General features: G+C 40.6%; 2 protein-coding genes across 24 annotated transcripts in view, besides 5 other annotated features; one reads left to right on the plus strand and one right to left on the minus strand.

The window, feature by feature from the left end:
• The window catches only part of PREPL (prolyl endopeptidase like), a 44,256-nt gene extending 30,544 nt beyond the window's left edge, over nucleotides 1-13,712 (minus strand). For 2 of the 17 annotated variants that reach the window (XM_047446444.1, NM_001171603.1), the window contains exons 1-2: nucleotides 13,374-13,712; nucleotides 11,347-11,600 (exon numbers count right to left, since the gene is read on the minus strand). In XM_047446444.1, coding sequence (XP_047302400.1) covers nucleotides 11,347-11,565 — 219 coding nt within the window. In that variant the 5' untranslated portion in view covers nucleotides 11,566-11,600; nucleotides 13,374-13,712. Of the gene's footprint in view, nucleotides 1-11,346; nucleotides 12,525-13,229; nucleotides 13,345-13,373 lie in introns of those variants that run through there. The other 15 variants (XM_047446443.1, NM_001374275.1, XM_047446442.1 and 12 more) reach the window with 10 other exon arrangements.
• Nucleotides 12,716-13,610: an enhancer, noted in NCBI's record as "NANOG-H3K27ac-H3K4me1 hESC enhancer chr2:44588005-44588899 (GRCh37/hg19 assembly coordinates)". NCBI's record gives its function as "activates a minimal SCP1, AML or CMV promoter by ChIP-STARR-seq in naive H9 embryonic stem cells {active_cell/tissue: H9 hESC(naive)}" and the evidence as "EXISTENCE:reporter gene assay evidence [ECO:0000049][PMID:30033119]".
• Nucleotides 12,716-14,504: a biological region, named in NCBI's record as "BRD4-independent group 4 enhancer GRCh37_chr2:44588276-44589475".
• Nucleotides 12,987-14,186: an enhancer, noted in NCBI's record as "BRD4-independent group 4 enhancer chr2:44588276-44589475 (GRCh37/hg19 assembly coordinates)". NCBI's record gives its function as "activates an origin of replication core promoter dependent on BRD2, P300/CBP, MED14 and CDK7 cofactors, and independent of BRD4, by STARR-seq in HCT116 cells {active_cell/tissue: HCT116}" and the evidence as "EXISTENCE:reporter gene assay evidence [ECO:0000049][PMID:35650434]".
• Nucleotides 13,423-13,892: an enhancer, noted in NCBI's record as "active region_15685". NCBI's record gives its function as "activates an Ori minimal core promoter by ATAC-STARR-seq in GM12878 lymphoblastoid cells {active_cell/tissue: GM12878}" and the evidence as "EXISTENCE:reporter gene assay evidence [ECO:0000049][PMID:35858748]".
• Nucleotides 13,611-14,504: an enhancer, noted in NCBI's record as "NANOG-H3K27ac-H3K4me1 hESC enhancer chr2:44588900-44589793 (GRCh37/hg19 assembly coordinates)". NCBI's record gives its function as "activates a minimal SCP1, AML or CMV promoter by ChIP-STARR-seq in naive and primed H9 embryonic stem cells {active_cell/tissue: H9 hESC(naive and primed)}" and the evidence as "EXISTENCE:reporter gene assay evidence [ECO:0000049][PMID:30033119]".
• Nucleotides 13,797-14,536, plus strand: part of CAMKMT (calmodulin-lysine N-methyltransferase) — a 410,646-nt gene continuing 409,906 nt past the window's right edge. For all 7 annotated transcript variants that reach the window (XR_939723.2, XR_007081736.1, XR_939722.3 and 4 more), the window contains exon 1: nucleotides 13,797-13,995. Coding sequence is in view for 4 of the 7 variants with exons in the window: in NM_024766.5 (NP_079042.1) it covers nucleotides 13,858-13,995 (138 nt within the window). In the remaining 3 variants the exon portion in view is untranslated. The remainder of the gene's footprint in view (nucleotides 13,996-14,536) is intronic.

Below are 14,536 nucleotides of genomic sequence, written 5' to 3' on the forward strand. Positions count from 1 at the left end.
AGTAGATGGGACTATAGATAGGTGTGTGCCTCCTCATTCCATACAGTTAATTTTTTGAGTAATTATTTGAAGATCAAATACTGGAGGCTTATATATTTATTTTTCATTCATTTTTAAAGCATTTCTACAAAATCTACAGTTGATCTTTAAAGTGGTGAGACATGATATCTGTATCAATAATCCCCTCATATCACCATCATAAGTCAGAAGATGACTAAAAATCTATTCTGAAACTGTAAAATAGCAATAGGAGCTGCCTTTGCATTTCTAGATTCAGGATTGTCTGTTCTGTAATTTCCATTAAAACTTTTGAAGTAGAGTCAGGATTATCTCTCTACTACCCTGTAGCTTCTAGCACATTCTAGGTCATGGAGCTGGGTTCTGTCACTTTTAAATACTCATTCTTACTGAGAGTCATAGCCAACACAGAGCCAAAAGCAACAGAGCGGGCTCCAAAACTCATCTTCTTAACTTTACATTCCTTCCTGATTAACATTTTTTCTGTCATATATCCAAATAAACTGAGCTTATCTGAACCAAAATAACTCTGAAAGCAATAGGATTTTTGACTCCCTTAACGAAATTCAAGCAGAACTCAACAGCTTTCTAAGTAACTCTTCTAAAGGAATTACTCCCATGGAAACTGAGGTTTTATATAATATTCATTAAGTACTCCAGGTTACTTTTGGTTTTTGTTGCGTCCCAGGGATACCTGCTCAGTGTTTTAAGCTTTCATTTCAATTTCAGCTAGCAATATCATTAGCGTACACAGCTAAAGCCATCCATTTTAGCCAGGTATCTTAGTCCAGTTGTTTCAAAGGCATATACTACCCAATGGAGCTGAGGTAAGGATGGCTTTACCTTCAGATTTTGAGAAGGTTACTGGTACAGTATCACTCCATTAGTGGTAAAAAGAAGCACTCCTTCCCACTCCCCAAGTGACCCACCACTAAATCATTTTAACAATGAAAGCTGTTATAAAATAGAAGGAGAATGATATGTGTTAACTTTATCATGGCAAAGATGCTGAACTCTAAAGATAGAAAAAATGGTGAAGTAGAAAGACACCGGACAGCCCTTCAGTCAAGACTAATTAGCCATTAGTAAATGGCTAATTCTAAGGCTAGAGCAGGGAGAAAATACATGGTAGGTTTGGGAAATCTTATGCCAGAAAATAAGGAAGTGCTCAAAGTTTAATGGAGACATGTCAAAAGAATACAAGTGTCAACTGAAGGGGTTTCTACAGGCCACATTTTGGACAACTGGAGCCTCAAAAAGAATAATAAATAATAAATAATACATTGAAAAAACATAAATCCACAGCAATTGAAAAACAGAATGCAATATGAAGCATTTCAATTTAGGAAAACAGAAAAAGAGTAAGTCTTAAGGAAGTAGAAGAAAGGTAAGAAAATTAATTTTTGAAATTAAATTGATAACAAAGAAACTAAAGAGAATCAAATTAAAAGTTGGTTCTTTTAGAAACCTATTAAAAAACAAACATCACAAAACTGATAGAAAAAAGAATACGAGGCCGGGCGCGGTGGCTCACGCCTGTAATCTCGGCACTTCGGGAGGCCAAGGCGGGTGGATCACGAGGTCAAGAAAAAAGAATACGAGGAGAGAAAAAGGCATAATTACAGATACAACAGAGATTTTTAAAAATTACAATAAGCTTTATGTGAATCTATTTGAAAATAAATGAAATGGGTAATTTTCCAGGAAGAAAAATTACCAAAATTGACCCAAGAAATAGAAAAGCTATATAAGTCACTAACTCTTAAAGAAATTAAATTGCTAACTAAATGTCCCCTTCTTGAAAGAAACACCAAGCCCAGATGCTTTCAAATGTAGCTTTCTTGGATCTTCAAGAAACAGCTAATCTTTTCATACGTCAACTATTTAAAAAAATAGTAAAAGAGGTAAAACTACTCATTTTATTAGGCTAATATAACCTTGACATCAAAATTAGACAATGATGATATGAGACAATTAAAAAAATCAATCTTATTCTAAAATAAAACTTGATAAAATCAAATTTTTAATTTTAAAAAGCACAAAATAAGAACAGTAATAGTAATACCAATTAAACTTAATGTGACCAAGAAGGATTTTTTCCTAAGAATGAAAGGATGGTCCAACATCAGAAAAAAATCTATCAATGTAATCTAACACAAATAAAGGAGATAAATCTTAGAGCCATTTTTGATAAATGCAGGGAAAAAATAAAAAATAATCACACTTTAAAAAAATGATAAAACCTTAAATTAGGAATAGAGAGGAACTTCCTTAATAGTTTCTGTCAGTTATCTTACACAGAAATATACTAAATCTGTAATCAAAATACCTGAAATTAATTCATATTAGCATATACATGGTATTTAGCAACCATGAAACACCAATGAGATTTCCAAAATTTTAATAATGTTCATGTAAAACAACTAATTGTATTTGCTGTTAACTCATTTTATTTTTTAAAAGCAACTGTTAAATGAAGGAAACTTGTTCCTTTCATCTTCTGCCTCCAATTCTTCTCCTTACCCCTTCTCTAGAGCCCAGACTTTTGCTCTTCTTATGCCACTGACTGCTCCTGTCAAGGTCACTCAATGGCTACCACATTGCAAAGTGCAAAAGTTAATGTTCAGTATTCATATTACTTGACCTGTCAGGATCATGATACAATTGATCACTTCCTCCTCCTAAAAACACTTTTCTTTACTTGGCTTCCAGGACACCTCATTCTCCTTGTTTTCCTCTTACTTCACTGGCCCTTCCTTCTCAGTATCTTTAGCTAGTTCCTTCTCAACTCCCTGGCTTTTTTTTTGTTTGAGATGGGATTTCGGCTCCCTGCAACCTCTGCCTCCTGGGTTCAAGCGATTCTCCTGCCTCCGCCTCCTGAGTAGCTGGGATTACAGGCACTTGCTCACCACGCTGGCTAATTTTTTTTTTTTTTTTTGTATTTTTAGTAGAGATGGGGTTTCACCATATTGGCTAGGCTGGTCTGAAACTCCTGACCTCAGGTGAACCACCCGCCTCAGCCTCCCGAAGTGCTGGGATTACAGGCGTGAGCCACTGGGCCTGGCATCTCCCTGGCTTTTTAACACTGGCAGAGCTCAATTCCTGCACTAAGTACTTCTCTTCTTTGCAGTCTGCACTAATTCCCTTGGTGATCTCATCCAGTCATGACCTTAAATACCATTTATATGCTAAGGACTCCCAAATTTACAGCTGTAGCCTGAACAATCCTGACCAAGATGAACTTGTATATCCAACTGACTACCCAACATTTTTACTTAGATGTCTAATATGCCAAAAAATGTCCGAATCTGAACTTTAAATCTCCCCATATATCCCTCGCCCTATTAAAAAAAAAAAAAACAAAACCCTGTTCTCCAGGCAATCTTTCCAATTTACATAAATGACAAATCTGTCCTCCCAGCTACTCAGGCTTAAAAACATTACAGTTGGATTTGTCTTTTTCTCTTGCCACAAACAACTGGTCTGCTAAATCCTCTCAATTCTACTTTCAACATATATTTAGAATCTGACCACTTCTCACACTTGGACTGGACTACTTGGCTAGTATCATCATCATTTCTCCCTTGGATTACTGCAAAAGCCCAAAAGCTTTCTCTGCTTCTGCGCTTGCCTCCTGGTCTATTTTCAACAAAGGAGCTTGTGTGAGTCTGAAGTCAGATTATGTTACTCCACTCAAAACCCTCCAGTGGTTTCCCATCTTGCTCAAGAGGAAAAGCAAAAATTCTTACAATGGTCTACAAAGTCCTAAAGAATCTTGTCCCATTACATTGCTGACCTAATCTACTGCTACACGCCAAGCCCACTTATTCCAGTTAATCCATACTTGATGTTTCTTGAACATATCAAGCTTGCTCCCATATCAGTTTCTTAGAACTTGGGCCCTATGCCCAAATACCTCCTTAAAGCTATTGCTCAAATGTCATCTTCTAAGTTAGGCCTTTCCTAACCATTTTACTAAAATAACACCCCTCCCTATCCCCACACTGCCTATTCACATCTTCCCCGTCTTTTTTTTCTTTTCTTCTTCGCCATAACTATCGCTTTTGACCCACTTTGTATTTCATTCATGTAATTCTTTTTATTTTTTTGAGAGATGAGGACTTGCTTGTGTCCACCTCAGCTGGAGTGCAGTGGCATGATCTCGGCTCATTGCAACCTCTGCCTCCTGGGCTCAAGCAATTGATCCTTGATCTCAGCTCTCAAGTAGCTGAGACTACAGGCGCCACCATGCCCAGCTAATTTTTGCATTGTTTGTAGAGACAGGGTTTTGCCATGTTGCCCAGGCTGTTCTTGAACTTCTGGGCTCAAGCAATGAGCCCACCTCAGCCTCCCAAAGTATATTACAGGCATGACCCATTGCACCTAGCCTTGTTCATGTAATTCTTTATTCTTTCTCTTTTCCTTTCTCAAGTAGGATGGTAAGCTTCACAAAGGCAGGGATTTTTGTTTATTTTGTTCAGTGTTATATCTCCAGTGCCTAGAATGGTGCATAGCAGGTGTTCAACAAATATTTGCTGAGTTGAATAAAATTCAGACAGCATAAAACATAAAATGAAAAAAACATATTTAACAAAAGATATCACAAAGTGAAAAAAATAATAATAGAACAAATATGGAGAAGATATCTACAGCACATATAAAAGACAAAGGACACGTAAAGAAATCTTATGAATCAGTAAGAAAAGGACAGACAATTAAAAGAAGGTCAAAAGACAAGAATAGGCATTCAAGAAGAAAAACTATAGGATCAATAAGTGTAAGAAAAGATGCTCACTGGCCATGAGTGGCAGCTCATGCCTGTAATCCCAGCACTTTGGGAAGCTGAGACAGGAGGATTGCTTGAGCCCAAGAGCTTCAGACCAGCCTGGGCAACATAGCAAGACTCTGTCTCTATTTAAAAAAGTTTTGGATTTTGGAGCATTTCAGATTTTGTATTAGGGATGGTCTACCTGTACTACAAGATATTAAAAAAGAAAGGTACTGTGAATGAGGCTAACTTAGGTCTACTTCTGACTCTACTAGTTTTCTTACTTAACTTTAGGCTCTGTGGCTTTAGTTTCTTCATTTGTTTAGAAAGAATACACACGCTTCCTGATTTTAAGACTTATTACAGGCCAGGCGCAGTGGCTCATGCCTGTAATCCCAGCACTTTGGGAGGCCAAGTTGGGCAGATCACCCTGAGGTCAGGAGTTTGAGACCAGCCTGGCCAACATGGTGAAACCCTGTCTCTACTAAAAATAAAAAAAAAATTAGCTGGGCATGGTGGCAGGCACCTGTAATCCCAGCTACTCGGGGGGCCTTGGCAGGAGAATTGTTTGAATCTGGGAGGCAGAGGTTGCAGTGAGCTGAGATGGCACCACTGCACTCCAACCTGGGCGACAGAGCGAGACTCCATCTCAAAAAATAAATAAATAAATAAATAAAACTTATTACAAAGCTATAGTAATTAAATGTGTAGTACTGGCATAACGACAGACATATACAAAAATGAGATGAAAGTGAGAGTCAAGAATAAACCATTGAATTTATGGTCAGTTGATTTTCAGAAAGGACACCAAGACAATTCAATGGAAAAAGAACACTCTTTTCAACAAATGTTGCTCAGACAATGGATATCCACAAGCAAAATAATAAAGTTGTACCCCAATCCCTTGCACTATAAACAAAATGAACTCAAAATGGGTCATAGGGCTGGGCATGGTGGGTCACACATGTAATGCCAGCACTCTGGGAGGCTGAGGCAGGAGGATTACTTGAGCTTAGGAGTTTGAGACAAGCCCGCACAACAAAGTGAGACCCTGTCTCCACACACACAAAAAATCAAAAAATTAGCTGGGCATAGTTGTGGGCCCAGCTACTTGCAAGGTAAGGCAGGAAGACAGCACGAGCCCAGGAGGTTGAGGCTGCAGTAAGCCATGTTTGTGCCTCTGCACTCCAGCCTGAGCAACAGAGTGAGGCCCTCTCTCAACAACAACAACAACAAAAAAAGTATCAAAGACCTAAAGAAAGAGCTCAGATGGGATGATTTCTGGGGTATGTTTTCTAGCAATAAAATTTATGGTTATATGAAAAGAAAAAATGCATTAATTTAACTATTAATTCATTCTATAAACACGTTGCTTATCTACAATGTGGCAGTCGTTATGCTATGTGCTGGCAAGATGTGTATTATAAAATTCTTGTCTTTAAGGACCTCCCAATATAATGGGGAGACAGGAAAAGTTTAAAATGATGTAGTAATAGCAGAGAGGTAAATATAGTGATTTGACTCCTATGGCTTCAACTACTATCTACATGTAACAACTCTCCCCAAATTCCAGACTCATATATCCAACTGCTACTGAAATCTCCACTTTACTAGTGAGTTATATTTATCCTTTCCTCCTCTCTTTTTTTTTTTTGAGATGGAGCCTCGCTCCCATCACACCAGGCTGGAGTGCAGTGGCACGATCTCAGATCACTGCAATCTCCACCTCCCGGGTTCAAGTGATTCTCCTTCCTCAGCGTCCCGAGTAGCTGGGATTACAGGCATGCGCCACCAGGCCCGGCTAAAATTTTTGGATTTTCAGTAGCAATGGGGTTCTGCCATGTTGGTCAGGCTGGTCTTGAACTTCTGACCTCAGGCAATCCACCCGCCTCAGCCTCCCAAAGTGCTAGGATTATAGGCGTGAGGCGCCACGCCCGGCCTTCTTCACCCTTAAGATCTGAATATCAGTAAGATTACATACATGACTGTGAAATAAGTCCATCTGAAACATAAAGATAAACCAGGTACGTTTTAGAATTTTGAGATTTTGGAATGTTAACTGGGTACCTTATCTCAGTTTACAGGGGAACAACACTCTAATCAAATGCAGTAACATTTTAGAGCTAAACATCTACTAATTGGGATAAAGATCATAATAGCTTTGTGTCAGTTTAGGTCAGGTTTTGCCCATTCTCAACAGCCTCCAATCAGTTAAAAAAAATCATTTGTTTTCTAACAGGCTTTTGGATTTTAGAATCCAAAGAGATGAGGAATTATCACTCAAGCTCTCTAGTCTTCCATTAAGATGTCTCAAATAAAATGTAATCAGGGCCAGCTGCGGTGGCTCATGCCTGTAATCCCAGCACTTTGAGAGGGCAAGGCAGGTGGATTGCTTGAGGCTGGGCTTCCAGACCAGCCTAGCCAACATGGCGAAACCCTGTCTCTACTTAAAATATAAAAAAATTAGCTGGGTGTGGTGGCACATGCCTGTAATTCCAGTTACTCAGGAGGCTAAGGCACGAGAATCACTTGAGCCTGGGAGGTGGAGGTTGCAGTGAGCAGAGACTGTGCCACTGCACTACAGACTGGGTGACAGAGTGAGACACTGTCTCAAAAAAAAGCAATCACCCTGTAAAGACTCTCATCTTCACTCATCTGAGTTACTGACAAGGCTTCCTACTTCCAATTTATTCTCTATTCTGTCAGAGTGATTCTTCTAAAATGCAAATCTGATTGCGCCTACATTTTTCAATAACATTCTATTGCTTAAAAGGATGTAGCTCAAACTTTTTGCAAGATATACAAAACTACATATTATATATATATATATATATATATATATACACACACACACACATATGAATATGAGACTATTGCAGGAGCTGCTAACCTGTATTGTAGAAATAGGCAAATGACATGTTTAACCAAAGGATTTAGTCTTCTCTCTTTAATTATACAATTTCATTTTGTATCTTGTTCAAATTATCACTATTAAAGATTTTGGGAATTATTTTTTAGGCAGAGCAGAGCAGGATGATGTGGAAGATAAAGAAATGTGATATCTGGATGGATGGATGCTAGTCTTTGAATATCACTGGCTGGCTTGTAAGTATAATAGAGTAAGTTCATCTTGCCATCTGGCTAATGTAAAATGGAAAGCAGAGGTACTTGCCAATAAGAACTGCAGAACTGAATGAATTCAATAAGGTTTAGATCGGCAACACTTGATCATCAAACATTTCCAATTTCTAAATTCAGGTCCAGTGTCAGTCAAGTTGTGAGTTCCAGAATTACCTGATGTGAACTTCAAAAAACAGATCTGGGGCCGGGCATGGTGGCTCACTCCTGTAATCCCAGCACTTTGGGAGGCCGAGGCAGGTGGATCACCTGAAGTCAGGAGTTCGAGACCAGCCTGACCAACGTGGTGAAACCCTGTCTCTACTAAAAAATACAAAAAAATTTAGCTGGGCATGGTGGTGGACGCCTGTAATCCCAGCTACTTGGCAGCTGAGGCAGGAGAATTGCCTGAATCTGGGAGGTGGAGGTTGCAGTGAGCCAAGATCATGCCATTGCACTCCGGCCTGGGCAACAAAGCAAGACTCCGTCTCAAACAAACAAACAAACAAACAAACAACAGATGTGTAGGCCTCAACCATAGAGATTTTCATTACGCAGATGTGGGGTGAGATCCAGGAATCCGCATTTCTAAAAAGCTCTCCAGGATTTCTGATATACAGTTAGACTGCAGAAGTTGATACTGAAGAGTCCCCAAACTTTTAGGCAGTAATTTGTTGCTAAGGTAACAAGAGGTATAGAATCATGAAATTTTAGCACCTCTAAGACTTTCTACAGAATGACAAGTTGAAACTCCCTATTTTTTTTTTTTTGAGACAGGGTATCCTTCTGTCACCCAGGCTGAAGATCTCACTGTGCCTCAACCTCACTGCAGCCTCGACCTCCCAGGCTGAATCAATCATCCCACATCAGCCTTCCAAGCAGCTGGGATTACAGGCGTGCGCCACCATACCCAGCTAATTTTTAGTCTTTTTGGTAGAGTTGGGGTTTTGCCATGTTGCCAAGGCTGGTCTCGAATTCCTGAGCTCGGACAATCTGCTCGCCTTGGCCTCCCAATGTTCTGGGATTACTGGCGTGAGCCAGTATGCCTGATCAGAACTCCCTATTTTTTTCAGTCAGGAAAATTAGGAGTCCTGATTAGTTCAGTCACACCAATCGTGGCTGGATCTTTTGCCTTCTAACATTCCCACTACACATGCTACTTTTCTGTTCCTTAGTTAACTTATATAGGTAATAGCTCTTTAAGCAGACATTTTAATTTACCTAAAAGCAGTAACTACTTTTTCTACTTTATTACACCCTATAAAAGTGGACAGAGTTGGAAATCAGTGGATGCTTGCTGAAAGAAGGAAATGTGCATTCTTCTCTACAGGTGTTTTCACAGCTGCCGGGGCATCTTTATAAAGCTTCCCCAGGTCTCAGTGATAAAGACCATGGCTTTTACATTACATCATTTCTCATAGAGGGAATGGTTGATACATGACATGTGACAGCAGGATTACTTTATCAGGTAAAGGAATTACTAAATGAACTATTAATACTTGGAGTTATTGAGTCAGGTTAAAGTTTCCAGGTAGTGGGAATCTATAAAAGAGAACGGAAAAGTTGCTTCAGGAACAAATGGAGGGAAGAAATAGTCAACCTTCTGTTTAGAATGTGAGCTAATATCACAGCTGTTACTCTGATGGTAATTCCTGTCTACTATTTATAAACTAAGTGTTAAGACAAAGTACGACATGACAAAATGTTCTAAACACAATGCAAAATAAAATAACCTAAAGGTCCAAAATTTAGTTCAATAGGTGAAATTAAAAATTTTATCTTTCTGAAGTAGGAAAGATGTACAAAAAACACAAAAATGAAATAAAAAGAAGTTATAAAGAATTTCTAAATGAGTAAAGAAAGTACTAAACTAAGGCAAGACACTACAAAAAGGAAAAGAATTTCAAAGACTAAAACATAAACAGTAAAAGTCTAGGAAGACTAGGGGGCTAACATATAAAATGTTAAAAGCAAAAGAGACACACACAACACCTAAATAGGTATCAGCTAAGATAGCGGCAAAAATTGAACAAAAACTAGAAAAACTGAGAAAAATTAGATTGAAAAGATAGTTTCTAAAATGAGAAGAATCTGCCCAAGTGTCCATCAATTACAGGAATGGATAAACAAAATGTGGTTTATACATACAAAGGAATATTATTCAACTATAAAAAGAAATGAAGTTATGATACATGCATACAACACAGATGAACTTTGAAAGCCACTGAATTGCATACTTTAAAATGGATCAAGTGGAAAACTTTGTTATACATATATTTTACCCGAAGAAAGGAGGAAGCCAAAACAGACTAAAAGAAAAATCAGTATGCGACAAAACCAGAAATTAAAATAAAAAAAATATTAAAATCATAAATTTGTGAAACTATTGCAAGAATACCACCCCCAAATATCATTAAGGAACCTAAGGAACATAAGAAGTAAAAGGTAGGAGAGGGATGTCAAAGCAGCAGCAGCACAAATAGATCATTTAATCCTACTTACTGTAGGATGACCATATAATTTACCATTCTAACCAGGACACTTTTGAGAGGAAAGGGGACACTATTAATAATTACACAGGGACAACAGGTGTAGGCTGGAGCTGTGCCAGGCAAAAGTGGTTATGTGGTTACTCTCTATATAAGGGCAATCAGGTCCTTAAGGTTGAGTTCACGCCCACAGCTTGGGGTCTGGCAGAAGTACAATACTCTGACAGTGTCTTCCTGAATGACTCAAGTGGTCAAAAACGCAAGATTATTTTTCATTTTTTTACAGAGAAATAAAATACAATTCATGGCCTTTACTGAAGTTTACTGATTTGTGATTCATAAAACAATTAGCGTATCATTAGATTTTATTAAGAGCTATAATTTAGTGTTCTAGGAAATTTAGAAGGCCGAATTATACTTTGAAATGCACTGGCAGGCATACTAAGGAAGTCCTGAGGTGAATCATTTTTTATAAACCTACATTTTTATATATTACATTAGAGCCCTATAAATATATGTATACACTTTTTTTTTTTTTTTTTTTTTCAGACAGAGTCTCCCTGTCACCCAGGCTGGAGTGCTGTGGTGCGATCTCAGCTCACCGCAACCTCTGCCTCCTGGGTTCAAGAGATTCTCTGCCTCAGCCTCCCAAGTAGCTGGGATTACAGGTGGGTGCCATGACGCCTAGCTAACTTTTGTATTTTTAGTAGAGACAGGGTTTTACCATGTTGGCCAGGCTGGTCTCGAACTCCTGACCTCAGGTGATCTGCCTGCCTCGATGTATATACTCTTTTATACTTACTTTTGACTAGAGACAATTGAGACTTGAAAATTAGAAAAATCAAGTTAGAATTACTGAGAAAATTAGTAGCTCTGATATTCTACCCATTCTTTATTTTTAAATTAAAATTAATCTTAATGACCTACAAATAGGTTAACTTAAACAGTCCATACCTTACATGAGAAGCTCCGACTTGGGATGTTTCTTGCTAACTCTGATATCTTGGGTTTATTCTGAAGACACTTGGTTAGGTGATATTTTTTCAATTTTATTCTATTGTAACAATGATCAGCGAAGTTATAGTGATTCAAATGCTGTTTCTGCATGCATTTTCCAAGGTGAGGAATACTATACTTCAAAGCTTGGAGAAATAATTTGGTCTTCTGCTGCATGATATCAAAGTCCCTGGTTTATGCTCCTTTTGGGGCTGCCAGCACACGAATGATTTTATAGGTATGATTACAGAGTAGTGGGTTCTCAGAGTAACTAAGATCAGCAGTTCTCATCCCTCCTTTTCAGGGCCATGCCCCACTTAGGTTATGAATAACTTCAGACAGCTGATAACTTAGGCTAACTAAATCTAAAAACCTGTGTAAGTTAAAGTTTCATTCAAATCATAATTCTTGGCAGATGTGACTTAAATGTCTCATTTGTAAAGTTAATCCTATCAGGCTCAAACTATGCAGCACTGACTCTGGCACACATAGGGGTTAAACTAAAACAAAAAACAAAACAAGAAACAAAATATAAATTTGCAAATAAGTACACAGACTTAATGGGGTATCTCAGGAACTCAGGGCTGTAAAAGGTAAAAAGCCCTTTGGTCTTACATAATTATGAACGTATCTTTGGTATATATGTGGAAGATAAACTGGAAAAGCCTAATTATTTAATAAAGGTGGGGGAGGGAAGATTAATTATTGTTGAGTGTTAACTAACTGCCAGGTGCTTTTATCTTGTTTGTCTAATTTAAATTTTATATGGACTTAATAAAGTAGATATTACCATGCACATTTTACAGGTTGCCAAACTGTGGCTGTGGGAGGTTCTAAGCAACTGTTCCAGGTCACTTGTACAGTAAGCTGTATAGCAAAAAATCCAATTTGGTTCGGTTCCAAATACTGGACATACTCAACTTCGGATTTTTAATGTTAAAAAGGTATTTAGCGCTTTAATTAAAAACAACAAAAAACCCCTGCAAGATGCACAAATAAAATGTAAGGCCATCTCTGGTTTGTCAGGAGGTAGCTTTTATTAACCTTGATTGCTAATAAGTAGTTAAGAGTCAGAGAGACCTGGGTTGAGGTCTTAGCTCCTACACTTAACTGTGTCTCCGGGCCTCAGTTTCTTCATCTGCAAAAATGAAATGACACCATTTACCTTCTAGGGTTGTTGTTGTAAAGACAAAATGAGACAGCTTAACATTAAGACCATACAGTGCCTGGCACATAGTGACCACTCAATAAATGGCAGTTGCTATTATTTACGACAGGAATAATCTAGGTATGTTGCACACCGCTGAATGTCATTATGGAAGTCTTCCACAAAATGCCCCCTGGTATCAAAGGTAGAATGCTGCGTCAAATTTACCATAGATCAGATGCGCTACGACGCCCCCGCCCCCCTTAATCCCTTTCCATGTCGCAGCAAAATAATGGGCGATTGGGGGTAGGGGAGCAACACTAGTTTACTAGCCGACACTAGTAAAAAAAGGGGAAAAAAGACCCGAATAACAAGGACCTGCAAAGGTCCTACATCACCACGTTCCCACAGCCTTTATCCATCCATCTTTCATCCCCAAGAAGACAGTATGCAAGGCTAGGATGGGGGTGGGGTAGATAAATGGGTGTTCTCAGGAGAACCTATTCGTTTACCCCGTGCAACTCTCCACCCCAGGGATGAGGCGATCTGAATGCAACAGGGAGAGGGACCAGGTGACACGCACGCAGTGCCGGGACATTAGTCAAAAAGCGAGGACCTGGGGACTGAGGGGTGGGTGGCTGGGCGGGGGGAGAAAGGGGAGAAGGAAAGAGACCAGCACACCCCCCATACATACGCAAATTGAGAGAATCAGTCCGGCTCTGGACACAAACCAGTGAAGGCAGGCCGGAGAACCTGAAGCTCTCAGAGGGGAGCAGGTGTCACCGCAGGCAAGTCCAGCCGAAGTCTGCGTTCCGCAGCCCACAGAACGACAACTTACCCAGAGCCGCCTAGAGCTGGTTTGCAGCACGCCAATCTACGTAACCTCAATCTAGCACGAGCAACAGGCAGATTTCGCCATCTTTGTTGTGGTCAAGGAGTCTTCTTGGGTTCCTGGGTTCTTTAGTCTCGAAATATATAAGACTTTTCGTTCTTCGCTAGTCTTCTGAGCTCGAGATGAAGCACAGAAGGCTAAAACAATGAGGGACAGCGTTCCAGTAGCCCTGCCACAGCTCTCTCATCCTCTGGTCCGCCCTCACTCAAGATGGCTACCAGCAAGAATGGTGCAATGGCGTGACAGCTCGGCCCTGGTTGCCAAGGAGATGCGAGTACCGGAAATGCGGAATTCGGGGAGAGCGCGCATGCCTGGTCCGGTGGAGGGAGGGTGCCGGGCGTCACAGGTCCTGACAGGGAAGAAGTTGGCAGGTCCTGGCAGGGGACGAGCTGCGGCGGTGGCACCTCCGGGTGTGGAAGGCTCCAGTGAGATGGAGTCGCGAGTCGCGGACGCTGGGACCGGCGAGACCGCGCGAGCAGCGGGCGGGAGTCCGGCAGTTGGCTGCACCACTCGGGGGCCCGTAGTCTCGGCGCCCCTGGGAGCCGCCCGGTGGAAGCTCCTGCGGCAGGTAAGGGAGAACCTGCTCGCCTCACCTTTGCCTCTGGTCACTCCTCTCTCACGTACCGGGGGAGCGACTGTTCGCAGTTCTTTCCTCTTGGCAGCTCTGGGAGACCCTTCTCAGTTTGCCGGGAGCCACCTGCGAAGCTCCCCCTCGCTTCACCTAAGCGTCCCATCCAAGAGGAGGAATCATGTGGGGTTGGGTGGGGAGCGGGACAGCCAAGGCTGAGCTCCTGGGAAACTCAGATCGAAGTAGAAGAACCCCTTCTAGACATTTTTGTGCGTCTGGGGGACTTTTCCCCTTCTCGCCAGTCTCTGGTGCGCCCGCCGCTCCCCACTGCTCTTTTCCTGCTTCTGTTTTGCCTCCTTCCCCAGTTTCTTCTAGCTTAACTCCCAGCCTGGTTCGAGTTACCGATATTCGTCTGCACCCTCTGGCCCCGTCTTTTGCCCAGCGTGGTTGACTATGCCGGGACTGAGACACGGCATGCGTTCCCTCGGCATCTTCCGTACAGCGGAGCGTGCAAGGAGTAGGAAAAGCTGATACCCTCTCT

The sequence above is a fragment of the Homo sapiens genome, chromosome 2 (genome assembly GCF_000001405.40).
Source record: "Homo sapiens chromosome 2, GRCh38.p14 Primary Assembly".
Taxonomy (NCBI): Eukaryota; Metazoa; Chordata; class Mammalia; order Primates; family Hominidae; genus Homo; species Homo sapiens.